The sequence below is a fragment of the Homo sapiens genome, chromosome 12, assembly GCF_000001405.40.
Source record: "Homo sapiens chromosome 12, GRCh38.p14 Primary Assembly".
Taxonomy (NCBI): domain Eukaryota; kingdom Metazoa; phylum Chordata; class Mammalia; order Primates; family Hominidae; genus Homo; species Homo sapiens.
Window position 1 is genome coordinate 5,846,205 of NC_000012.12, and position 27,729 is coordinate 5,873,933.

At 44.8% G+C, this 27,729-nt stretch overlaps 1 protein-coding gene across 3 annotated transcripts in view; it reads right to left on the bottom strand.

Annotated features, from left to right (window-relative positions):
* Window positions 1-27,729, bottom strand: part of ANO2 (anoctamin 2) — a 383,578-nt gene that overhangs the window by 283,550 nt on the left and 72,299 nt on the right. For 2 of the 3 annotated variants that reach the window (NM_001278597.3, NM_001278596.3), the window contains exons 4-5: window positions 7,839-7,937; window positions 5,753-5,755 (exon numbers count right to left, since the gene is read on the bottom strand). In NM_001278597.3, coding sequence (NP_001265526.1) covers window positions 5,753-5,755; window positions 7,839-7,937 — 102 coding nt within the window. The remainder of the gene's footprint in view (window positions 1-5,752; window positions 5,756-7,838; window positions 7,938-27,729) is intronic. The other variant, NM_001364791.2, reaches the window with a different exon arrangement.

The window sequence follows — 27,729 nt, forward strand, 5'->3', positions numbered from 1 at the left end:
CTCTTCTTGACATGAGCCACATTGGGTCTCCTTCCACCATTCATAACAACGTGAGCCTCTACTTCTATTTCATCAAACAGGAATGGAACATGAAAAAGTCATCATAGACATGCCAAGGTCACGTAGGAAGATCCATGCACCAAGTCTCTTCCATAAAACTCCCAAACCCAATGACAACAAATAAACAAGACTACTCCAAGTTATCTTAGAATCTGCAAAGTGGATTCTTGGAATACAGAGAAAGCCAACAAGCCTACCAGAGACCTAGGTCTTCAATTGTCTGCTTACTGCTTCCTGCCCAGAAGAAGAGTGTATTAGTTTCATAGTGCTGCCATAACAAATTATCACAACATAAATTTATTCTGTCACAGTTGTGAAGGTCACAAGCCTGAAATCAAGGTATCAGTGGGGCTGCACTCCCTCTGAAGGCTGTAAGGGAAAAATTATTTCTTGACTCTTCCAGCTTTGGATGGCCCCAGGTGTTCTTCACTTTGAGCCTGCATAACTCCAGTCTCTGCCTTCTTCACATAATCTTCTCCCCTCTCAAATCTCCTTCTGCCTTTCTCTTATAGGGATACCTGTCATTGGATTTAAGTTCTATTCTAAATCCAGGATGATCTCATCCTGAGATCCTTAACTAATTATATCTGCAAAGATCTTTTTTCCAAATAAGATTATATTTACAGGTTCCAGGGCTAGGACTTGGACATATCTTTTTGAATGCCACTATTCATTCCCTAACAAAGAGGATTATTGACTTGGAAAGTACAAGCCTTGTGATGGTTCATTTTATGTGTCAACTTGACTGGACCATTGGGTGCCCAGATATTTGGTCAAACATTCTGGGTGTATCTATGAGAGTGTTTTGGGATGAAATGAGCATTTGAGTCAGTAGGCTGAGTAGAGCAGATTACCCTCCCTAATGTGGTGGGCCTCATCCAATCAGTTGAAGGCCGGAATAGAACAAAAAGGCTGACCTTCCCACAGGTAAGGGGAAACTCTTTCTGCCTGACTGCATGAGCTGGGACATCAGTCTTTTCCTGCCTTCAAACTTGAACTGAAACATCAGTTCTTGGGTCTTGAGGCTGCTGGAGCTTCTTCATTGGCTTTCCTAGTTCTCAGGTCTTTGGACATAGACTGGAACTACACCATCAGCTCTCCTGGGTCTCCATCGCATGAACTGCAGATCTTGAGACTTCCCAGCCACCATAATTGTATTAATCAATTCCTCATAACACCTCTGTGTGTGTGTGTGTGTGTGTGTGTGTGTGTGTCCTGTTGGTTCTGTTTCTCTGGAGAACCCTAATACAAGCCTCAAATCTGGATAACTGAGAAATAAGAGGTGCTGCAGTCCTGGCTGAGTAGAGTCCCTCAGGCCGGGCGAGCACCATGAACCAGGAAGAAGTCCTCCTGTGAAGCTTTTGCAAAAGCCAGGGCTACCAAATCAGAGTCTCTACAGAGACAATAACAAGTACCTGAGAACAATTTCCAATCATTTCCAAAGCTAAATGGAATTACCTTTCCCTCCTAAAGGGCCACTGAAGCTAACTAAAATGCCAAGTTTCTTTGCTTTCTAACTGGAATTCTATCAGCTCAGTGTGGAAACACCAATTTTTTTCACACTGATAAATAATGCTTAATAGCAATTACATATGTTTTCTCTTCAGGAAAAGAAGATAACTTATTCTTTAATAAATGCAGTTTAGTAGACATAAACATTTCAAAACATGGGTTCAACCGAAAAGAATTAAAGTGTCAGTGGCATTTCTGCTCGAACCGTTATCTTTGAACCCAGTTAGCCCCTCAGAAATTTTCACACATTACTCTGTATTCAACCCTCCCTCAACTACACTTTAACATTACATCCTCAGTTTTATCCAGAATCAGTGCAAACAATGGTCACATGAAGAACATTGCAGAAGCTTGTGTGAACTTATTATTGAAAACATAGTCCCTTGTATTGTTCATGTCATTTACAACAGGAAAAATTTGCCTCCTTTGGCAAAACAGATGCTGATTCCTATAGACGACTGTGAGCCACAGTCCTTTCTGTCTTGGCTACCAGAAAGCCCAGAATGCAACTCTGTCTCTCCTGCATCCATCACCCTTATTTTTAGTTTCCACTATCATCATTTCCCTTGCACTTCCCTACTTCCCCCCCTCCCCAGTTACATGATTCTTTTTATCTGTCCTTTTACAACCAAAATTCTTTTGGTTGTCATCCATCTCAAGTCCATTTTAGGAAACAGACTAAGACATGAATCAAGTAACCCCAGGTTAATGGTGGCAGAGCCAATAGTGGAACTCAAGGTGGACCACTTGTCACGTTTGCTGTCTCTCCCTTAAAATGGGTGCCTTCAAGCTCTGCCTCCTGCACCACGGGGCCCCAGCAGTCTTCTCACTGGCTTTCCCAGCAACTGCACCGCAGACCTCACAGGTGGAGCCGTCGTGTTTACAGACGCCCCAAGGACCCGCGCTCTAGGAAGTGGAAGTCCCCAGCACATAGTCCAAAGGCCATCTGTTCCTGCATCTCCACAGATTTCATGTCTGGATTTCTGGCTGCCTTGGCAGAGTTGAGGGACTGGGCCTGCTTCCCCCAACATTGCAGAGAAGAGAGAAGAGAGTCAAAGAGCAGAAACAGCCCTAGTCTTGTACCAATTGCGCTGCCTGCACACCTTGCTATGAATAACAATACCAACAGCAGTAACAACGGCAATTCTCATGTGTTGTGTGTGCCTCTCTGCCAGGCATTCAGAGAACATCATCACCTCTTCCCTCCACAATGTGTATTACTCCCGTTTTGGAGATGCATGGAGCTCTGAGCCTGCTTTCCTAAAAAGGCATGACTTGCTGGAAGTTAACAGCATCTACTTGCGTGCAAAGGACACATAAGCTGAAGTTCTGGCATGCTCTGAGGGACAGCAAATGAGACCCCTTCAATATCAGTCACTCTATTAACAATAGCTACAAAAGCTCTGACGATTGGACAAAAGGGATTTTTCACCCATCCCAGGCATGTCACTTCTTCCAAATTTAGTGGACTCTGGCTGGATTAATATGATTTCACTGACATGAAAGTCGTCCCTAATAGCCTGCATCGACCTTGTCTCTGCTAGAGGCTTGAGGAATAAGAGAATGTAAAGGATGAGAAACGGAGTGTTCATTCATATATACAAAAAAAGCAAATGAGAAATCAACAGAAATGTTGACCACGATCTCTAGAAGAGCCATCTTGGTAATGAGCAGACGTAAGAAAGCACCTGCTTCCATACCGCCATTTCAAACCTTCTCAGGCTGCTCGGGGCCAAAGGCCAGGCCTTCCCACACCCTTCTGTGCATGGATCTTGAGTGTCCCTCACAAAATGCTGGCTCTTCTGTTGTTGTTTTTGGAAAACAAATGCTTCCTTCCAAGATTCCCCCTCCCAGTTAATATCTGTGCTCAGGACTTGGAGTCCCTGGACACATTACAATGGATTTGTCCAGGTTTGAGATCTCGATTTTGTGATTTCCTCCCCATCTTCCCAGTCTCTCTGGACCCCACCGAGTTATGATCCAAACCTCCACTGCCTGGAGGATGCTTAACTGATCCCGCGCCATGCCTCATTCTTCCTCCACGCTCCCCTCGCCGCCAGGATGTGGCTCTCAGCAAATGTGGTTTTTTTCTCATTTTAAAAAGAGAGCATGCCACCAGCCTCAACACTAGCCCTCCACAGACAGCGAGTCTCGTCTTCCATTTTCCATGCTCCTCTCTCAACTCAGGAACTGGGTTTAACCCAGACCCCCACCCCTGGGATCAGAGCCTCAGATTAATTTTTACAAACATAGCATCCTACCCAGCATACCAAGTTATATCCCCCCTCATCTGTGTATAACACCCTCCGTGAGCTCCACTACAAGCCATTGCCTTCTATGATAAAAAGAAGATCTGGGGCCGGGTGCAGTGGCTCATGCCTGTAAGCCCAACACTTTGGGAGGCTGAGGCAGATGGATCACTTGAGGTCAGGAGTTCGAGACCAGCCTGGCCAACATGTTGAAACCCTGTCTCTACTAAAAATACAAAAAATAGCCGGGCGTGGTGGCGCGTACTTATAGTCCCAGCTACTTGGGAGGCTGAGGCAAGAGAATTGCTTCAGCCCAGGAGGCAGAGGTTGCAGTGAGCCGAGATTGCACCACTGCACTCCAGCCTGGGTGACAGAGGGACACTCCATCTCAAAAAAAAAAAAAAAAAAGAAAGAAAGAAAAGGAAGATCTGGGGCCATGTGGTAAAAGGAAGCCAAAACAGTCCCCCTGAGTCGAGTCTGGGACCAAGAAACTTTGGGAAAAAGTTCTTTCTGTTTTATCTGCAGCCTTGGGGGGCAATCACATGCTTTGCCTCTCCCTACTCCCTAACCCACCACATTGACAAACAGAATTGGTGCTGGGCTAATGAGTTACTACTTGACACAGTATCCCATCACTGCATTGATGTCTGGGCACCTGCACTCCCCCTATGCTGCCCTGTGATTGTCGGCACCCTGAGGGCATGGGTTGTTTCTGCTCCCTCAGTGCCTCTCCAAGGACTTTCTTACAGAGGGAGCACTATCAGTGCTGGCTGCTTCTTTGGTCAGAAAGGAAGTTGACTGGGGGACTAAGAATTGAGAATACACATTAAAATATCTCAGAAAGCAGACACAACAAAGTCCTGCATTTACACAGCACTGGTTAAGAATCAGATCCTTACAAAAACCTTCTAAGAAAAATAGGACAGGTATGAGTATGCCCATATCATAGATGAGGCAACTGAGGCTCTGAGAGATGGGATGACGTCCCCAAACCACACAACGAATAACTGCAGAACCAAGGTTAGAAGTCTCTTCTTCTGAGGACTCGACTAGTGCTGTGTCTACCAAAATGCAAAGTGGGGAGAGAAACCCAGAGATGGCTGCTTTATACTATGTTCTCACCCTCGCCAACTCATCTACAAGTTCAAATGCAGGTACCACCTAAAAACTACAGATGTAAGTTCCAAACAGTTAATGTATAGGGGCACTGAAACTCTGAAAGCCAATATGTCATTTATGCAAAACTATGCTCTAAAAAGCATAAGCATGTGAAAAGATAAAGGAGATACCAGAGGGACCAAAGGCAAGCACTACTGGGGAAGCCAAGTCTGGGAGTGAGGAGGAGAAGGTGGCAGAAAGACAAGAGATGTAGAGGTGTCTGGCTGGGTGTGGTGGCTCACGCTTGTAATCCCAACACTTTGGGAAGCCGAGGCGGGCAGATCATGAGATCAGAAATTCGAGACCAGCTGGCCAACATGGAGAAACCCTGTCTCTACTAAAAATACAAAAATTAGCTGGGCATGGTGATGAGCACCTGTAATCCCAGCTAATCGGGAAGTTGAGGCAGGAGAATTGCTTGAACCTGGGGGACGGAGATTGCAGTGAGCCGAGATCACACCACTGCACTCCAGCCTGGGCAACAGAGCAAGACTCCATCTCAAAAAAAAAAAAAAAAAGAGAGATGTGGAGGTGTCATAGAGTGTGCAAAGAACAGAGAGAGAGGCTAAGAGGAGGCATCAGAGGTGGGGGGTGGAAGGAAGAGAGAAGAGAAGGAAAAGAATGAGAGTAGAAAGACGGGAAGGAAAGCAAAGAGGGAAAATAAGCAAGCGGAGGTTGAAAAAGGACACACTTTTCCTGTGTCTCTAGGTTTCCCCTAAAAGGGTTACCCTGGGGGATGGAAATCATAACATGGGCATTAGAGTTTTGCTCACCTCCTTTCCAAGGATCAGCAGCAGAGATTAAAACATAGGAAACAAGACACAAATAGAATGAGGTTAAGAGAACATTACACATTCAGATAAACCAGAGAGAAAGGAGAATAATATATTGGAGTTAGAAGGAAGACAGAAGAAAGAGGAGATAGGGTTGGCCAAAACAGGACCCCACCAGAAGGAAGCAGAAGCCTCCACCCAAAGCTGAAACTAGTATCATGTTGCCAGGAACTCCAGAGAACATGAGCTAAAGAGAAGCAGAGATCCAAAACAAAGATGGCACCCGCATTTGAGGGCTGCGGTATTAGGAGTGAGAGGACTGAAACTAGGAGACAAAAAACGCAGCAGTGCAATTGAAGGGGAAAGACACAGCGTATTCCTTGTGAAACTAAGACACTTCAGGCATGTGACCCCCCTCCCCGACACCAAAAATCACCTTTTGTTGGCAAAATGTTTGTAGCTAATATTAATGTTTGTGTTTGTTCATTGTTTAATAAGCATTTGTCCACCTGCCGTGGAGTTATTGTCCATTGTAATAAATCTATAAGAACAGAACCCATAGACTTTATTCTTCTCAAGTAGAGGATTCATGATGGTATCAGTCATGTGCTGGTATTTGATGAGTGATTTTTGATGGAGATAGCAGATCTGTTGGTAGTGAAAATGGTGTTGGCCAACAATGTAAATCAGAATGGTGTTGCTGACTATAATGATAGCACTGAGAGTCGGCATGGTAACGAGGGGGCAGGTGATCACAGTGGTGGTACAGAAGGCAACAAATATGGAATTCTGTTCACAGTGGGCAGCATGAAAACTATGATGATGGTAGTTACAAACAGCAAGATGATCTTTGCCATGGTAGCATGTATACAACTACACTATGGAAAGGGACGTGTGTGTGTGTGTGTGTGTGTGTGTGTGTGTGTGTGTGTGTGGTGTATATGAGAGAGAGAGAGAGAGAAGAGGGGGTGGAGGGAAAGAAAGAGAGACCACCCACAGTTCACCCATGGTTAAACTAGAGTGCCATCTGCCACAGGACCCTCCCTAAGAGACATGGCAGATGGTCAAAGTCAATAGCCACCCCTTTCCCCTAAAATACCTATGAATAAAGAATGGAGTATCTGTGAGCACATGCTTCCTTTCTCTTTGGAGCTATTTGCTAGATTTTGTTATGCAAGGAGACATGTCACCTAGAAATTCCCTGGGTAGATTTTTTTTTTTTTTTGGTAGAGGTGGGGTTTTGCTATGTTGCCCAGGCTGGTCTCAAACTTCTGACTTCAAGAGATCCTTCCACTTCTCCCCAACAAAGTGCTGGGATTACAGGTGTGAGCCACCGTTCCTGGCCTCTGGGTAGATTTTTAAATTATGTATAGACTATCCTGGATTAAAAAAAAAAAAACTACCTCAAACATCATCTAAACTGTGTGGCTGTCAACCCAGATGTGCATCATCCTGGGGATTTTTTGCCTAACACTGATGAGAACGTCATTCCATACCAACCAAGTAGGTCAAATTCCCAGAGATGGGACACTGGCATGAACAGTTTGAAAACACTTACCAGGTGATCTTAATCAATTCACCTGATTAAGAACCTTCTGATTTACAGAAGAGATAAGTGAAACCCACCAAACACAATATTTAGTGGCAGAATCATAACCAGAATAGGTTTCTCCACAGCAAATTGGTGTTGTTTCCCCTGCCCACTGCTGACACAGTCAGCGTGGCTTGCAGCCTTCTCTCATTACTCTATTCACTAAAGAAGTGTCTGGCTGTACTAGGACCCCGAGAAGAGAGAAAGGAGGTGAAACAGAAAAATGAAGAACACGGACAGGGACAATGTGTTGCTTCTCATGGAGCAAACCCAGCCAGTGCTCTGAGGTGGGAGGATCTCCCTCCCCACCCCAACTCTTCCCCGTCCCCGTCCCCGTCCCCACCCCCCACCCCCCACCCCGGCATCATGGGTCCCTGGGGAAGCAAGTGTGATTTCAATTCCACAAAACCCACATCCCACCTGGCCCTATTCCCAAATTATTTGCATCCATCCAGCCCTCAGGAGGCCCAGAACCCAGGAGAAACATGCTCATACTTTCTTGGTAGGAACTTTGATCTTCAAGAATTCTGCCTCTCTGGCCAGCACCTGCCACGGGGCGTGTATCCGGACAAAGATGGATCCCTGGCTTTTATTCTGCAAGGTACAAAGAAAGAACAAATGGAAACACTTGTAAGGACATAGCTTAAACTCCTGGTTCTTCAACTGTTCCACACAAGGAGCCCAACCCGTTGTTCTTCAGTTTCTCGTTTTCGTTCTCTTTAAAATTCACCAGGGACCAGTCCCTTCCCACCTGTACCCAGTTCATCAGTCTATTCCAAAAATGTTCTCATCGAAAACAGTAGGATAGTGTTCCCAAAGTGTGGCCCCTGGAAGTTTGGTAGCTTCAGAGCAAAAAAAAAAAAAAAAAAAAAACAAGTTAAAACAATTTTGGTCACAGATTTGAAATATAAGCAATCATGATTTTCACGGAAATCTCATTACACTCTTAATAACAAGTGGTTGGTTTTGCACTGCTCACACTCAGTGAATAGCCTGCAACTTGTCTCCATTCACATGTTTTCATTGTTTATTGTTCAAGTTTGTATTTTTGTTCTACTGTCATGCTGTTATAGCCCCAAACCACAAAAGTGATCTACTAGAGCCTAGAAGTAATACTATAAATCATAATGACAATGGTACAATGCAGAATAATATAAACAGGGCTCCTATATGAATACAGAACATGAATCTATGTCTCAGGATAAGTGACTGTGTTGTGTGTTGATTTCTCTCAAAACATGAAAAATAAGGACAGAAAATGCAGTGATAAGTATTTGAAAGTCAGGTTTCATTGACCCAGCAATTCATCTGGCCCTTGTCACTATGACTGTTACAAATAGGTGTCAGATTATGAGAGGAAGGCACCTCATCTTCAAATAAACATTCACTTTTTTTTTTTTTTCAAAACAAGCACGCACAGGGGAAAAAATACTTTCTGATATGAATTTAATTAATTTTGTCACTAAAGAACTAAAGAGGACCAAAACCAAGTAGGAAAAACTGGCAGAAGTCTCATTATTGGTGAGAAGTTTCTAAAACTACCTGCAAAATTAAGCACAAGCATTGTGTTTAAACTCCTTCACTGTGTTCAGAGAGAAGGAACGAGCTGATAGCACAATCCTTCATTCCGCCCTCTGATCTTGGTTTAGTGTTGAAGACTATATAGAAAATCTTCAACTCACAGGCTCTGACTGTCTGCATTTTCAGTGTGCCTGGCAGAGAGATAGATGGCAAATAGAAGACTACGTCCCCCCACTGAAGAACACTGTCTATGGAGGAGGTGCTCACATGTGCTTTTGAAATGATGAACAAAATAAAAAGATATTTTATGGCACTTATTAATGCAAGTGAAAACTATTTCTATTATTCTTCAATGGCAGCTCCAAAATATGTTCAGTAATTCAAACATCCAGAACCAAACCTCACTTTGAGGAAGAAAGCTCATGACTTACAAGGCAGAAAAATGAAGAATAAACCACGATTTCAAAAGGAGATTGGACTATGGTGTGAAAGCCTTGGGTAGTCTAGAGTTTGACAATATCTGAAAATAACAATTACCACAATGCATATTTATTGACTGTGTATTATGCGCCAGAACTGAGTTAGGTGGTCACGTGCATTAGCTCACACAATATTTGCAACTATGCTGTAAGGCCAGTACTACCACAATCTCTATTCCACAGCTGAGGAAAGCAAGGCAGGGAAAATGTAAATGATTTGCCCAAAGTTACACAGATAGTGCAATAAAGATAGTGTTCAGACATGACATGGTCACTCAGGATAATTAAGAAACACACCCAAGGACTGTAACACAACACAAAGACATGTGTTTAGGCTAAAATCAAATCCAAGGGTTGATAAGGAACCTATGTGGCAGCCCTAAAATGAAACCTTCCCAATCCCAAGTGTGACATCGTTCTGACAAAATACTGAAAGTGGCCTTCAGCAAGAAATCTCCCCAATTTTATCTTTGGTTATGCAGGACTGCTAGATAGAATCATCAATCACTTGCTACTACTTCTAACTGTAATTTAAGCTTTTCCAACTAAGTGAAAATAAAGGGTAAGAAAAGAAACCATCTGTGAAGCTGACCTGCAAGCCCAGCTCTCCATCACGGCCCCAGAAATTATGTTTTTGGTGAAAGATGGCAAACAGCATCATCCCTCTCGCTAAGAGGAGATCACAATGATTATGAATGTTAACACATTACCCTTTGTCTTTATTTTCAAACTGTGATGAATGCTGTTTTAACTTTCTTTAGGGTCGTTGGCTCAAGTGTGTAACAGATGTCCATTAAGTGGGTGCAGATGTTCTAAGTTTGAGGTAGGGTTGGGAGGGCAAGGGTCAAATTCCAAGATCTTGGTGGCAGACTGCTAGCTGTCCCGACAGCTGTTCTCATGTTCTTCATTTTTAACAAAGCACATGGCCATCCAGCATTAAGACCACATCTCCCTTGCAATGAGGTGTTTCCATAAACAGTATTTCTGGCCAATGTCGCAAGGTGGAAGTATCTGGTAACCTTCTTCAAATACAGCAAGTAGGTGCTTTTTGCCCCGTCATTTTCTTCCGTCCCCTTAACCCGCTGCCTGGAAGATGGACACAGACATTTTAGACCTTAAGGTTAAAGTCCGGGCCAGAAACAGCAAAGTGTCAAGAGAGAAGCTGGCTCTGGCTCTAGAGAGTGTCATAGCAGCCCTGGGATGCCTTTAGATTTTTACGTGAAAGATAGAATTCTACCTTGTTTATCCACGGTGATTTTAGAGGCTCTATCCATTGCAGCCTAATCTTACACTAACGAATGCAAAATCGTTTCCCAGTATGGGGTTGTTAACTTCCTCCAGCAAAGCATGCATCTCCACTCTCCTCAAAAGGAACTTGTTTAAAATGAAAACAAAAGCAGGAATGCAGTTTTGTGGATCTAGTCATGTTCCTTTCATGCTGTGCAATATTGTTACCTTCTCATAAAAAGGAAAACATACCCACCATTGTGAAATATTAGCTGATGTGACTGGTTGTGTCTCCAAAGAAAAAAAGTAACTCCTTGAAAGCTCCGGAGCACAACCATCACCGAATGCATCCCCCAGGAATCTAAACCTGAAGGTTAACATGTATTGACTTTAAAATAATTTTTTCCTTGTCCCCCAGGCCACTCCGACATCCATTCTGCCCTGCCTGTGGATGTGGGTTCTTTTAGGCATAGTAGGGGAGTGGAAGAGCTTGGAGCTTCCAAGTTAGACAGAACAAGATCTGAATCCTTAGTTATTGTGAATAGTCCTGCAATAAACATGGGGGTGCAGGTATCCCCTTGATATATTGATTTCTTTTCCTTTGGGTACATACCCAAGAATGGGATTGCTAGGTCATATGCCAGTCCCATTTTTCGTTTTTGAGGGACCTCCATTCTGCTTTCCATAATGGCTATACCAATTTACATTCCTACCAGCAGTATGTGAGAGTTCCCTTTTCACTGCGTCCTTGCCAGCCTTTATTTTTTTGGTCTTTTTTATAATAGCCATTCTAACTGGGGTGAGATGATATCTAATTGTGATTTTGATTTGCATTCCTCGATGATCAGTGATGTTAAGCATTTTTTCATATACCTGTTGTCCATTTCTATGTCTTCTTTTATGAAGTGTTTATTTAGATCCTTTGCCCAGTTTTTAATTAGATTATTTGTTGAATCAACCTAAATGTCCATCAAGAGAGGAATGGATAAAAGAAATGTGATAGATAGATAGATAGATAGATAGATAGATAGATAGATAGATAGATGCCCACTGGAATAGTACTCAGCCATAAAAAGAATGATATCCTGCTATTCACAGCAATATGGATGAGCCTGGAGGACATCATGTTAAGTGAAATAGGCCAGACACAGAAAGACAAATACCACATGTTCTCCCTCATATGTGGAAACTAAAGAATATTTGAGCTTATGGAAGTAGAGCATAGAATTGTGGTTATTAGAGGCTGGGCAAAATGTGGAGAGGGGAGGATGGGGAGAGGTTGGTTAATGGATCCAAAGTTAAGCTAGATAGGAGGAATACCTTCCAGTGTTCTGCAGCACTGCAGGGTGAATAGGATTAATATAATTTATTGTATGTTTCCAAAAAGTTAGAAGAGAGGATTGTGAATATTTACAACACAAAGAAATGATATATTAGGGGTGACAGATACGCTAACTACCCTGATTTAATCATTACACATTGCATATATGTATCAAAATACCACTCTGTATCCCATAAGTATGTACAGTTACATCAACTAAAAGTAAAAGGAAAAAATATGTTTGTGACAGCATTATTTCTAATAGCAAAATACTGAAAACAACCAAAATTAATTATGGAACAAGATTAGAAAGGGAAAAAGACTATCTAGGTGTATAGCTTCCCTCATAGTTTAGAGATTCAAATAGAATCAGTATTTCCCACTAATTCTGGAATCTTCACCACCTGAAAATAAACGGAGACCTATGCCTCAATTATTTAAAAAAAAAATTATTTGCCTCCAGAATTTTGCAGCTGTGGGAGCTTAGGCAAGTCACTTAACCAAATGAGCCTCACCTTCTTTATCTGAATAAGGAGGATGAGAAATGTTGCATGGCTGTTGTGAGAACTGCAGATGAAGTAGGTGAAGTCCCTGCTAGTGTGCCTGAAATGTGGAGTGTTCAATAAACATCAGGCATTACTATAGCGATTAGCTCTACCCAGGTAAAATGACTGCTTCTTGACTGCGGGACAGTATCTGAAACTTCTTCTGTATTCTTCAAGCACCTAGCACGAGACTGCACACACAGCAGGTCCTTGCTGGGGAAAACCAGTTCCCGTTAGATTAAAATTGTGAGTGAGTAATCCTGGTTCCTTTATTGCCTTGCACTTTTAAAATTATCTACAAGATTTTCAAAATGTCCCACATGTCCTAAAGGAAATCACAGGTTCAAAATACAGTGCATCTCCAGAATTTGGGGACAAGGTCAGAAAATATAAGTTGCTGAAATCGACAGGAAATTTAACACAACATGAAGAGATTAGCCGTCAGAGGATACAATCCATCCCTAAAGAAGATGTTATAAATAAGTAATCAATATGACTGGAGGGGCTCCCAAATCTCAACAGGCAACTAAAACTTCAGTTCGTGTAAAATGAGCTGTAACACATAATTTGGTCCTTGTCATCACAGAAGGGAGAACCAGGGCACAGATATTTCTGTAGGAAGTCCCAGGCCTGTCAGTCTAAGGTAGGTAATTTTTCCAGGGACAAGCAATGTGAAATATATAACAGAGCAGGAAATGTCTCTAGCTTAGTTGAAATGTCTCAAAAAAACTATGCAATCCTTTCACTGTGACTCCATTTTCATAAAGCCCTACAAACCCTACTTCTCTAGTTCTTGTTATCAGGGAGAGTTACCCAAGAAGACGGTGTGAGTACTGTGGCCAAAGGAAATGAATACTCCTCAATCAGAGCCTGACTTCTGAGTTCACCGGTCTCTCTCTCTTTTTTTTTTTCCAAGATGGGGTCTTGCTTTGTCTCCCAGGCTGGAGTGCAGTGGCACCATCTTGGCTCACTGCAACCACCTCCCAGGTTCAAGCAATCCTCCCACCTCAGCCTCCCAAGAAGCTCGGACTACAGGTGTGCACCACCATACCCAGCTAATTTTTAAATACTTTTTTAAAGATGGAGTTTTGCCATTTTCCCCAGCCTGGTCTCAAACTCTTGAACTCAAGCGATCCACCTGCCTTGGCCTCCCAAAGTGCTAGAATTACAGACGTGAGTCACCACATCTGACCTGTCCATTTCTTTTAACTCATGATGTCCACTGGTTTCCCAGACCTGTCCTCCACTAAGTAAACTGGTAGAGAACTGAATTCACAAAGAGGCTAAGTTACGTCTCATCTTGAACCTGTGCCCTGCCCAGTCTGCTGACGTCTCACTCCCTCCCTACCCCGCTTCCTCTCTAAAGTTAACTCAACAGCAAGCCCGATAATTTGCACATGGTCTAAGGTACCAGCCCCTCTCACCCTCCTCCCCAGGCTCCAGCACCCAGCCCTTCTCACTGTCATCTGGCTGTTCCACCAGCTTCCTACGCTCAAGCCTCCTCACATTCTATCCCTCCATTGCAAAGCTCTCATCATCCCCCATCCCAACCAACTCCTATTTGGGTCTCAGCTTAAACATTCCTTCCTCAGGAAGCCTCTTCCTGAGCCGTGGATTATGCCTGGTCCCTTCCTCTTGCTTGTGCAATTCCTTGTCTTTCTCCTTCACAGCACGGACCCACTATCACAATCATTGTGTCACTAAGCATCTCATACCCTTCTTCTCTGCTAGATCTGTAGCTCCATGAGGACAAAGAATGAGTCTGTCTTGTTGTTTGCTTTGTCCTCAGCAGCCACCACAGTACCTGACGTATAGTAAGTGCTCAGTAAATATTTCTGGCAACTTCAGTACACATATACTGTATTCCTAGTGGATTCCATTTGGATCCTGTGACCAATCTCTAAAAATTAGCTACCATGGCCCACAAAGTAATTGGTGACCTTTGGCCAACAGAATTTAAATCTAATTCAGTTTTGAGAAAATAATTCAATTACCCTTAAGTGTCATTCTTGAATGTGTCTCTCATATTGACAGCTAAAGTTACTAAACTTTCCACCTGACCAGGAACCATCTAAAGATCGTGGAGGGCCTCTCCATCCTGTTGGTAGCCCCAGATGCTCACCACATTTGCAGACCGCCGTTCCCTTTCCTAGAGGCCAAAGGAATTGACACAGCCTCACTCGTGCTCACAAAACACAACCTGAACTGGATATATCAGAAACTTTTCTGCCTCATAGGCTTCTGGGGGTGTTATAGCATTAAGGAGAAGAATCAGGAATACTCTGGAAAATAGACAAGGCTTCAAATGTCAGTCTTTGACGTCTTCACTCAGCAAGCATTAGACTGCCATGATGCTAGTCAACACCCCATGCTGACAGTTCAAGGCAGGGCCAGCTTAGGGACACAGAGGAATTTCAGAATGATGAACTGATTTGGCCATAGGACTCTAGAGTTGGAAACACCTCCAAGCACACCTAACATATCTTTCTCCAGTAACAAAGGAAGACCTGCAGCCCAAGAGTCTGTGCTGCATAAGCATAGACATACAGCTAATTACAAGCAGATCCAGGTCTCCTGGCACCAGCATTCATCCCACCCTTCCATCCTGAGGGCTGCCAACCATCCACGGCAATCCTGCAGCCCCTCCCTTCACAAGAAATTAGGGAGGCAGGGGAAGGAGGAATGGGCTAGGGAGTGAGGGAAGAAGGGGTTCGTACCCCCAGCCACCTCTCTCCCGCACTCCAGGCCCCTAGCAGGGACTGGAGGTCGCGCTCCTGGTGAAGTTATCCTCATTGTTTTTGTCTTGTTGTTGTTATCCAAAGCTTGCATGTGGATAAACAAGACAACGTCCTCTCTCTAGAGAGACAATAGTGAGCGGGAGGCAGCCCCAGCCAAACACTGGAAACTGATACTCCTCAGGCCTCCTTCCCCACAGCCCTGCCAAGCCACCTCCATGCTGACCCAAGGGGCCTGAGTGTACTCTGGTCCCGGGCCCTGCTGTGAGGCAAGAACGTCAGCTGCAGCACATCGGCGCCCGGGAATGGCGCTGTAAGGAAGGGTGGGGGGATGAGCCTGTCGATGATGGAGGAGCAGAGAGGAGACAGACTCCCTTGGACTCCCCTAAGACATCACCAGCGCCCCCACCACACCTGCTGGGAGCCCCACACTCTCAGATCATCAAGATTGAAGCTCACACAGCTGGAGGACAGGGGTGCTGAGATGGTGGCCAGGGCAGCCATCGTCACAGGCGAAGGAGGAGAGTGAGGTGTAGCCTTGAGACAGAGGGCTTTTGAAATAAGAGCAGGAATTCATCTGAGACAGGCCTCCCATCTGCTCCATTTGAGGAACACCATAGTCTACCTGTGTCATCGTGAAGATCAAAGCCTTAACTTCCTTTTGGCTCTCAAGAATGTACAGCCTCTGATTCGGAGCAGGCTCTGCCTGGTCCTCCTGAGACACAGGGATTTGGGATTAAGCAAAGGGAAGAAGTTCCTGCCTAGGGAAGGAAAGGTGGAAATCTGCTCTGCTGGGAGCTCCTGGATGAGAGTACTGGAATCTCCTCTCCAACCCTGTCCTGCATAGGCCAAGGTGAAGGTGGCCAATAATCAGCAGAGGCAGAAGACAGAGCCAAATGCCCACCAAGCCCCATCCCAGAGACCCACTAAGACCAGCAGCAAGACCCTTCCTTCTTATGGAAAAGACTTCACCTGGTTCCCAACCAACGACCAGGGACAACCCAGGGTCCTATGGACATGAAAACTCAGCCACTTTTGTCGTATTTCTGGGTGCCAACCTGGACAGACACGCAGAACGGGTGATCTCTGGACCTATCACCACAGTCTCCACTCCGTGTATCACACATCATTGCACTCCAACCAGAGGCAGCCCAGGAACAACTCCTCAAAGCCCAAGTGAAGAGGAAGCAGTGAGGGGAGCCCAGGGAGACTGAGGAGTCCAACCCTCTGATAGGGTCTGACTCTGTCCCTGCCCAAATCTCATCTTGAATTGTAGCTCCCATAATTCCCACATGTTGCGGGAGGGACCTGGTGGGAGGTAACTGAATCATGGGGGCGGTTTCCCCCATACTGTTCTCGTGGTAGTGAATAAGCTCACAAGATCTGATGGTTTTATAAGGGAAAACCTCTTTCTTTCTTTCTTTCTTTTTTTGAGACAAAATTTCGCTCTTGTTACCCAGGCTGGAGTGCAATGGCGCAATCTTGGCTCACTGCAACCTCCACCTCCCAGGTTCAAGCAATCCTCCAGCCTCAGCCTCCTGAGTAGCTGGGATTACAGGCACCCACCACCACACCCAGCTAATTTTTTGTATTTTTTTCTTTTTTTTAGTAGAGACGGTGAGGGGAAACCCCTTTCATTTGGTTCTCAATTCTCTCTTGTCTGCTGCCATGTAAACACATGCCTTTCACCTTCCACCGTGATTGGGAGGCCTTCCCACCCACGTGGAACTGTGAGTCCATTAAACCTCTTTTTCTTTATAAATTACCCAGTCTCTGGTATGTCTTTTTTAGCAGCGTGAGAACAGACTAATACACCCTCCAACATATCAAGGGTGAGAGAACCTCTTCCCCACTCAACCCCTGAGCTGCAGAGGACCCCAAAGGCAGCACGGCACCTTGAAAGACCTAACCTATGGGGAGTCAGCAACAGAGTGTGACTCAGGCTTCTCTAGGTGTTATTCTACTTCAGAAATCCTACAGGTGGAAGAAATAGGGAATAATCCTCACCATGTAAGATAGGCCCCGGGAAGGCCATGGGTTCTGGAGCCTGAGGACCAGGCCTTGGGCCCCAGCTCTGTCACTTACCAGCTGCACCATTTCCAACAAGCCACCAAAGCTCTCTCGGATTGACAGGCAATGTTAAATAATTGTAATAATTAATAATAATACCACTTGGAGGAGAGAAGGATAGACTTTACAAAAGGACCTGTGGAAATGTTTGGGGGTGGTAGATATGTTCATTTTCTTGATTACAAGACAGTGATGGTTTCACAGTGATGGTTTTGAACACATGTCAAAACTCAACAGATTGGATACTTTAAATATGTGCAGTTTATTATACATCAGTTATACCTCAAAAAGGCTAGAGGGAAAAGATATGCAAAAATGTAAAACAATGCAACACTTCTTGTAACTTTTTTTGTTTTAAAAAATCATTATTTTTAATTATAATGTTTTATGTTAAATAAACATTATTTACTTAACAATATGTTATATATTCGTTAGCTTTTAATTAATAATAAATATTCAAAAGTGAATAATGATTTCATGGTATCTCAGAATCAAATAAGGTTGTACATATGAAGGTATTTTGTAAACTATGAAGTGTCTACAAAAGGATTTTTTAAAGAGCAAGTGCAGGGATAGGCACTGTGAAATCTCTGCCTTGGTACTCAAAGCACAGGGCATACCCATGTTCCTAGGGCCAAAAAAACACATGTCCTTGACCCCTGTGGGAATCCCACCATGTTTCTTGGATCCCACATAAAAAAAATCATAGCTGAGCCCACCGAGGCAGTAGCCCCTGGCATGTAACTGAACACCACCAAGTGAGGATGAAGATAAAAGTGAACATTTCTCTTGGGAGTTTATGATGCTCAAAGATAACAGGCTGAAAGTAGCCAGATGCAACATTTCTACCAAAAATGAGAGAATGACAATCCATAAGCCCCAAAGATGTTGGCAGAAAGAACAGGGCCTCTCCCAAAACTCAGGGAGGCCAGTAGGCTGGCGCCTGGGCTTCCAGCACACAGAACCAGCCCAAACAGGGGATCCTGGATGAACTGTGAGGAAAGACCCAAGGAAAATGCTGCTGTTTCCTATTCATCACAGTGAAATTGTTCTGGACAGTCGCCATCCTGCAAGTGGAATCAGATGCTGTGGATGCTAACTCTCAGCAATGGGTGTGCCTCTCCCTCACCCCCACCAGGACACGGAGAGCACTTCAGTGCCTGAGGAATGGAAGGCAAGAGAGCAATGGGCAAAGGGGTGCCCTAGCTGGTCATTAGTAAATACTCAGACCACAGATGATCAGTAGGTCCTGGCTGGCCTGGAACAGTCTCTGTTTATTCCCCTTGCCTCATCATCCCATCAAGTTTAGGATTTTAGCATTCTCAAAAATGTCCCAGGCTAGACAAGCAAATCACAGGATCAACCTGTGAGCACCACTACACTTAATAGCCATCAAACCTTTGAGCAAGAATGCCCAGTATCCCCTTCCTGTCTTTCATTTATTTGGCCCATGTGAAAAATATCCCACTCAGAGAGAAGCATTCCCAGGCATTTAAAAGCTGGTCATATTAACTCTGAAAGCCCTATCTCTTCATTATCTCTAATGTCTCTCCTGACTTAAAATTTGCATGATTCCTTGATTTTGCTACTTTTCTTCCAACCTCAAGACACCTCCCTAAACCCTTTATGTTATCAGTAATTAACTCCCCTCCCCCACAAGGATATGCCCCTGCCTTCTCTTAGCAGTGACTCATCTCTCCCTTAAAGAATCTTTACACTATTTTCCTATGATTCAATCATCCTAACAAAGTTCAATTCAACAAGTATTTATTGGGCAACGACTGTGTGCTTGGCAATGTGCTAAGAGTTAGGGCATATGAAAGAAATCTAAGCCATCATGCCATCACACCATCATGCCATCACATCACCATGCATTCACACCATCATGCCACCACACCATCATGCCATGACACCATCATGCATTCAAACCATCATGCCATCACATCACCATGCATTCACACCATCATGAATTCATACCATCAAGAATTCACACCATCATGCCACCACACTACCATTTCATCACACCATCATGCATTCACACCATCATACATTTACACCAGCATGCCATCACACCATCATACATTCACACCATCATGCATTCATACCATCAAGAATTCACACCATCATGCATTCATACCATCATGCCACCACACCATCATGCCACCACACCATCATGCCATCACACCATCATACCATCACACCATCATGCATTCACGCTATCGTGCATTCACACTATCATGCCACCACAGCATTATGCCACCATATCATCAGGCCATCACACCATTATGCATTCACACCATCATGCAATCACACCATCATGCATTCACACCATCATGCATTCACACAATCATTCATTCACACCATCATGCCACCATACCATCATGCAGTCACACCATTTTCATTCTCTTTGGAAACCAGATAAATGATATCTAATACCTGGGACAGATCACGACCAGGGCAATTAACGTCCAAAGGGACAGGACGACAATGAACGATCATTTGTTTGTCATCTCCCCTTTCACTCACCAATAGTTGCCAAGTTTTGCTCTGAGAGAAACACCCCTACTGGAGCTCAGCCATATGTTTTTAGCAGAATTGATCCCATCCCAAATCCAAGCCTATGCCCAATTAGTTTGAACCAATCAGCATATCCAACCCTCTGCCACAACGACTGCTTCTGGAATATGCTTGTAATGTGGTCAAAATCAATAAGATGTGAGGAAATAATGGCCAGGATTTCTAGGGAAAGCAGCTTTCTCCTTCCGTCAGACTCTGGGGGATAACAGTGGCCATCGATTCACTCCATAAAGGGAAGTCCTGGGTCAGCAAGGGGGATCAGTGAGAAAATAAAAGATGAAGTGGACCCTGCAGATGGTTGAGCAGAAAGATAGAGAAATTGGTTGTCTTTAGGGACATCATGGGAGCTGAGGGATCAAGCCTCACCAGATCTGCTTATGGGCTTCCTGATCACACGAGCTTATAAATTCCCTTTGTTGTTTGAGCTGGTTTGAGTTGGATGTTCTGCCAATATGAACAAGCATTCTCACTGATATAAGAAACTACTGGAAAGAGCTGACTCTGGGCTAGAGCCAGAGGGCATGTTGTGGAGGAGAGGGACCTTGAGTTGTACTTTGACCACTACATGATGAGATTTGCACATGCCGTTGTGAGCGGCATGGAAGAGAAGAAGTGGATGAACACAGGTGCAGAGAGGAATGTGCAGCATGTAGAGACCAGCCGGCCTGAAACTGAATGGAGCCTGGGGATCCAGGGGGCTGAGACTGGCCTGTGCTGGCTGTACTGCCCACTACAATGCTGCTGCCAGTGCATTTTGCAACAGTGACCTTGACAGATCAACCCCATACTTTCACCCAGGTTCGTTATATTTTCAACAAGATAAAAGATGAGAGAGTCCGCCTAGTCAAGGAACCTTTAAGAAAATGCCTTCCTCTTTTCCCAGTGGAGCTCAAATTAGAAACTTCTTCCCACTCTCCAGTGAGACCAACAAATACAAGTGATAGCAGGGAGTTGGTCTAGGGGTTGGTCTGGGTTGGTCTAGGCTGTGATCAAACAGAATGACAGAACAAGCCTCCCATGTGGCACAGATCCAGGCTGTGACCTTCGGAGGAGGCAGTTTTCTGAAGACAGGCTCTGGCCTTCCTTCTAGGAGCCATTACTCCTTCATAGCAGAGATCTTACACAAAGAGGCAGTGTAGACTTTGAACATGTACAAAGAAGCTATAAAACCTTCTACAACATTGATCACAAGCTTTCTTCAGCTAAAGAACTCTTTCTCCAAATATTTCAAGGGGCTACCTGGTTGTGTTCCAGAGAACTACAGCCCCACCTGCTCAGCCCCAACTTGGGCTCCAAGTGGTTTCTGTGGCACTTGTATGCAAACCCCAAGAACTGTAGTCCTTAGAAATGGATGAGGTTTTTGACTGTCACAATGACAGGGAAACACCACTCATATTTAATGGATGAAGTGAGAGACACCAAACATGCTTCGATGTACTAGAAAGTCCTAGGAAAAATTAACCTTCCTGGAATATACAGTGCTCCACTGAGACTTCCCTAGGGCTCAGGTAAGTGAAGTTGAAAATTACTGTGCTGCCCCGCACATCTGTCCGACCTGACATAGAAGGCAGGATTAGCAATTATCACACAAGTCCCATGGCTCTGGCTCCAGCAGACTCAGCCTTGAGAGATATTAAGGTAGAGCTTAAAGAACTTGGATTATGAATAAAGGCTATCGAATTAGCTAAAATCTAGATCTTGGATGTGATGTTGATAAACTAATCAGGGACACAGAAAAAGACCTAGCACTATAATGAAAAAAAAAAAAAAAAAAAAAACCAGTGGATTTGATTACTTCGTGAGCTTCCAAAAATATCCAGATCAACCCAGCTGTCAAGAGCACTATGAAAATAATCCTTTAAGAGTAAAAGGGTGGTTACCAGAGCCTGGGAAGGACAGTAGGGGAGTGGGCAGGAAGTGGGAATGGTTAATGAGTACAAAATAAAAATAGAAAAAATAAGACATAGTATTCAATAGCACAATGGATAACTACAGTCAATAATAATTTAATTGTATATTTTAAAATAACTAAAAGAGTACAATTGGATTGTTTGTTACACAAAGGATAAATGTTTGAAGGGACAGATACCCCATTGTCCACAATGTGATTATTACGAATTACATGCCTGTATCAGGGTATCTAGTGTACACCATTAATATATACATGTACTAGGTACCCACAAAAGTTAAAAATGTTTTTAAAATAAAAAATAATAATAATCCATTAGCTTAGAGTGTTCTGGAGGCCAGGGGATGAAGGTCATGTGGTCTCTAGAAGCAGGGCACATTAAAGAAGAGCTCAGAGAGACCCTGCTGAAAATCCCAGCTCTGCCACTTACTCCCTGTGTGACGTTGATATGTAACATGATCTCTCTGAGTCTCAGCCTCCTTTCTGATCAAGCAGAAAAATAAGAATCTGGAAGCAATAGTGACCTCATAGAGTGCTTGTGAATATCAGCAATAATGTAAGAAAGACACCTAGCACAATGTCTGGCACATAGTAGGTGCTCAATGCTAATAATAATTAGATTCTGCAGATGGTGTCTTCTGGCCAGAATAATTTGAATTAAGGGGGTTTGTGCAATTGAGTTTCCAGCATCCTCCCTTTTTTCCTAGAAAAAGCTGGCTCCTGGGGCATTTTCTCCCCCTCTATGAGGCGAAAGCCCAGTCTGGATCGTGTCCTCTCTATGCAGCCCAAACATGCTTTTCCACAGCCATGACCCTGCATGCACACCACATGGAACCAGTCCTGCCTGAGACCGCAGGTCTGGAAGAGAAGGGGTCATCAGCCCTGCTAATTAAATCTGCAGATGATAACAAACTGGGCGGCTCTGCAAACAGCACCAGAGAGGACAGGGATATAAATGAGAAGGGACCTAGGGAGTTTACAAAATATGGGACAGGAAATCACAAAATGAGATTCAATGCAGAAGAATGCAAGGAACTCCAACTGTGGGGAATAATCAGAAACATAGACCCTGGAGGGGAAGGGGAAGCTGGAAAAAGGCAGAGGTGATGAGGGCTTGGAGCAGATGGAAGACAGGTGGCAAATGAGAGAATGGGCGCAGGAGGTGAACAGGAAGTAGGGGTCGAGAAGCCTGCAGGAAGTCCAAATGGAAACTGTGGGTCCCATCCAGCAGGGCCATTCGCACTCTCCAAGGCTCGCTTCCAAAGTCCATCCTCCACTCCAGCACCAGTCCGAGTAGCACCTCCTCCAAGAAGCCTTTCTGGACTTCCACAGCGAGCCCTACCAGTCTCCCTGCTCATTACTCTTCTGTGCTCGGCAGGGTCATGTTTGACCATGGGCATCATTCCACATCTGACTCTTTTAGCTTCAACCAGACTCTGAGCTCCATGGGGACAAGGATCCAGGCCCTGTGACTCACTGTGCTCCTTCCTGCATCCAACTCAAAGCAAAGCCCAGGGTAAATCTTCAATAAAAATGAGGGTGGGCATCATCTCCAATAACATGACAAAGAGAAGAATTTCCCTCTCCAACCCCTGCTGGGTCAAAATTCTGTCTGAGATCTCTCTGTCCTTATCTCTAGGCCTCGGCCCTATCCCGATGCCTCATGCATGGCACCCCTCAGTCAACTGCTTGTTTAACCGTTACTCAGGCCAGGACACAAACCAGAGATCACTGAGGGGCCGGGGGAAAGAAGACAAATCACAAGTAGAGGGGAAATGATGAGGCGGATGTGTCCCTCATGTGACGGGGACTGTCCTCACATAGCCATGGTGCTGAGAGTGTTTTCTGCAAGACGAGAGTGGCTTCCCTGAGACACCTGCCCCCTTTCAGCTGATAACTTCAAAACCAATAATCATGATAAAAATAATCAGGACAATAAGGTATAACTCGTTCTCAGGAAACTTGAGTAAGGCTTACCTGGCCCTAGGAAGAAACATAACTACTGCCTTGAACCACTGTGAAATCAAGCTCCTCTGAAGAAAGGCAGGAGCCCTCCCCACACCATCAGCCCAAGAATACTGTCACTCTCACTAAACGTGTGTGTCTCAGGAGATGAAGAGAGTAAGTACCAAAGACTTGTTTTGACACTCAGCCCACCATGGCACCAGGGACAACAGAGGGGAAAGTAAAAAGGCAAATGTGCAGAGCAATCCATCTGCAGAGAAGCCTGGGGAGGAAGGTGTCTTTAGGGTACCTGCTGTGCATGGCAGGTTCATTACACCCCAAGCCAACAGGACTCTGACCATTCTGAGAGGCCTCTAGAGAAAGGAAGTCCACAGTGTTTCCTGCTCATCTGGATCCCTGCCCTTCCAGAGGTGCTTTCCCCCAGCCCAGGGCAGTGGGGGAAACACGGAGACCAGGTCCTGGTGCCAGCTCTGCCACTTCTCATCTTTGGCACCTTGGCAACGTCACACCTGAGTCACCCCAGGGCTCTGCCTTCTGCTTCCCTATACAATGACAGCATTGAACTATGAAGGTTCCCTCCCGCTGAAAGATCCTGTGACTTCACAAAGGGCAGGAATTCTCTCAGCACCTTAGCATGAAGAACTAGCCTTAATCATTCTACTGCAAATGTACTTTGATGGGCTGCAAAGCTCCAGCCTCCTGGGAGAACCCAGAAATGAGCTAGAACACAGAGTCACAGAGATTTCCACCATCTAAATAGAACTGCATCTTTTCTTGTCTTCTTTCCTTAAAGGTCCCTCCCTTCTTCTCATATTCTAAAACTTGAAGGGATCAAAGGTCCTACTCAGGATGAGGTACCTCCCTGCTGAAAGAGAAATGCAGCACATCCCAGCTGCTGAATGCCAGTATTTATTGAAGTTTGGTACTTGCTATCCTAAACAAGGTGGCCACATGCAGTGGCGCAGGTCATGCACTGCACAAAGGTGCTATTTCAGGGGGGCACTACCATGGAGAAGATAGTTTATATTCAATAGCATATTTACTATGATCGTTTTCTGGAAGATGGCAAAGTGTTTTGATCTAACAGAATCAGTATATTAAGTAATTTCAAAAAAACTGATTTTTTTATTAAAAAAGCAACTTGAGGAAGGGAGGCCTTTTTCTAATTGGCATAAAGGCACCACATGGGCTCTCCACGGCCCCAGTCGTTAGCCTGGATGCCGACTCACAGGAAAACGGCCATAGAGAGATGGGAGCACTTAATGGTCTCTCTACTGCCCCAAAGCAAAACCTACAGTCAAAAATGGAATCTACAAAAGTCATCTACATAGGTTGTAAATCGGACACATAGGCCCAAGCAGAATCCCTCCTGGGGATATTTATATTTTTTGAAGGTCAAATAAAAGAATAATTTCTTAAAAACTGGGTCCTTATTTTGCTCATCACTAAGTCCCAAGCACTTGGACACCTCACACAGTGTCCAAGTGTCCACATGACATTCTATACCTAGAATAGAGTATGCACTCTAAACAAGGGGTTCCCAAACTGGTACCAGTCTGAGGCCTGTCAGGAACTGGGCTGCATAGCAGGAGGTAAATGGCAGGGAAGCAAGCATCACCACGTGAGTGCCACCTCCTGTCAGATAAGCAGCAGTATTATAACTCACAGGAGCACCGACCCTATTGTGATCTGTGCACGCAAGGGATCTAGGTTGCATGCTCCTTATGAGAATTTAATGCCTGATGATCTGAGGTAGAAGTTTCATCTCAAAACCATCCCCCTACCCACCAGTCCATGGAAAAATTGTCTTCCATGAAACCAGTCCCTGGTGCCAAAAAGGTTGGGGACCACTACTCTAAACGGTTTGATGGGATAAGCAAAACCAATGGATACAAACTCTGCTGTTTTTGCTTATGTCAGAAACCTACTGGTGGGGAGTGCAACCATCCATGTCTCCTAAACTCATAGCCCAGAAAGAGACCCTCTGTGGTTGGGCTGGAAAGTCCAGCTTGTCCTACTCAGAATCTTTCACAGGCCTTCCCACAGCACATGCTCAGGAAAGCTGCATGAATGTTTCTGAGACCAGAGAAAACTGGAAATGTACAATCTTCTAACTTCTTTTTACTCATCCTGCAACCCACAGAGTCAGAGAAGCAGTCCAGAAACTAGCTCTAGGATGTCAGCCAGCTCTTAATGGGGACAGGTAAACAAGACAGGAGCAAAATGTATTTTCCATTGTCCTTTTTCCCTCTCGTGACCCCCAGCTTTTCCCCAGAGCTCTCCATAGGATCGCGCACCTGCTCTGGTCTCACTTTGACCAGTCTATGTCCTGGGCATCCAGAGAGCAAGTACCAAAAACTCATCTTCATCCTGGCTTACCTGTCATTCAACCCACATCCTTTCCAGGTAAAGAAGTCCTTGGGATGGCCCCAAGGAGCTCATAGTCTAACCCAGGGTCCCTCACTCAGGGAATACCACATGGCTGTTTTTCAATCTATGATGAGCAACCCTTTTAAGGTACTGGAGGCTGATGAATATCTGACCCCACCCAGCTCTACTGTGACAGGGGCTTCGAAGGCTTCACCTCAAATCAGTGACTAACAGCAGATATCAGGCCCACTAGGAGGTCTAGGGGCCTTTCTGAAGAGCCTCAAATCATGCTACCTACATGCTGTTTGCACAAACCACTCAGTTCTACGTTTTAGAAGAGTGCACTTAATAGTATCGAAAATTACATCTTAATTTTTTTTAAATATGCTACCTGGACCTCCATTTCAGCCCACTAAGAGAGCCAGCCCTACTAGAGGTCTAGAAAATCTTTCTAAATAGTCCTTTTTCTAGGAAAAAGATATGCCCACGGTTCCGGGAGGAGACATGGTGTAATGCAAAGGAATGGGCTCTGGAACCTGTCAGCCCTCCAAGTTCCTATCTTTGTCACCTACAGAGTTACTTAACCAGGCTGAGCCCTGGTCCACAGAAAGGAAAAATAACACCTTTCATGGGACCATTGTGAAGATCCAGCGTGCAGAGATGTGGGAAACACTGCTCCCTGGTGTACATGTGGCAGGTGCACATATATGTTAGTTTCCTTCAGCAATAGGGGACTGTTTGCACTGGGGGCTCTCTTTGTTTCAACATTTGGTAACCTGGGCTAGATAGCACTCCATCCTTATTTGCAAGGCTACTGTAAATCACTAATTTCCATATTGTTGTAAATAAAACCAGATAAAGACGGAGTGAGGGCTGAGCAGTTTATAAGCCCTACCAGAATTATAACTTTGTTACTTTTGCCTAAAGCAGCTCTCTCTCTCTCTCTCTCTCTCTCTCTCTCTCTCTCTCTCTCTCTCTCTGTCTGTCTCTCTCCCTTTCTCTCTTTCTCTGCACCTGGTGTCCCCAGGCTCTTGAACTCTGGCCTCATGTTGCTCTCTGGCACTGTCACTAGGCCGGCGAAGCCACTGACTCAGGACAACCCATGGGTTGCTGTGCAGATGACAAATGAATCTGGGACTCTGTGGGCAAATAGCATCCAACTCACTTCACACTCTATGCCCTACTACACTCCAGGACCCGTCCACATCCCCAACCCGTCCCTGCCTCGCTGGAGGAATTTGGGCTGGGGCCCATCCAGCAGGCTAGAGGAAGCCAAGGAGAGCCTGCTTAAAGCCTGAAAGAGGCTGGGAGGAGCATGTCCTGGCGATTAAGGATGGGCTGAACTGGAGAGTCCTCTCTGGCTGCTCTTGCAGTCTTTCCGTCAACACGTCAGGACAAATGAGGTGTTTCTGTCAATCACTGAAGATGCATGGCACCCCGACTGAATCCTCCCTGAGCTAATGGGGCTGCTTGGGAGACATTCAGCATTGAAAGAAGCTCTTTGTGCAGGGGTGGTGAAGTGTTTTGCAGGAAAGCCTCAGCAGGTGGCCACAAAGAATGTGACAACTGCACCTGGGAGCTGCAAAGCCCCTCCAGGGCTAGTGGCAGCCTCGCAGTCCTTTAGAGGAGCCTCTCAGCTCTAGGGACACCAGCCAGAGCTGATGTAC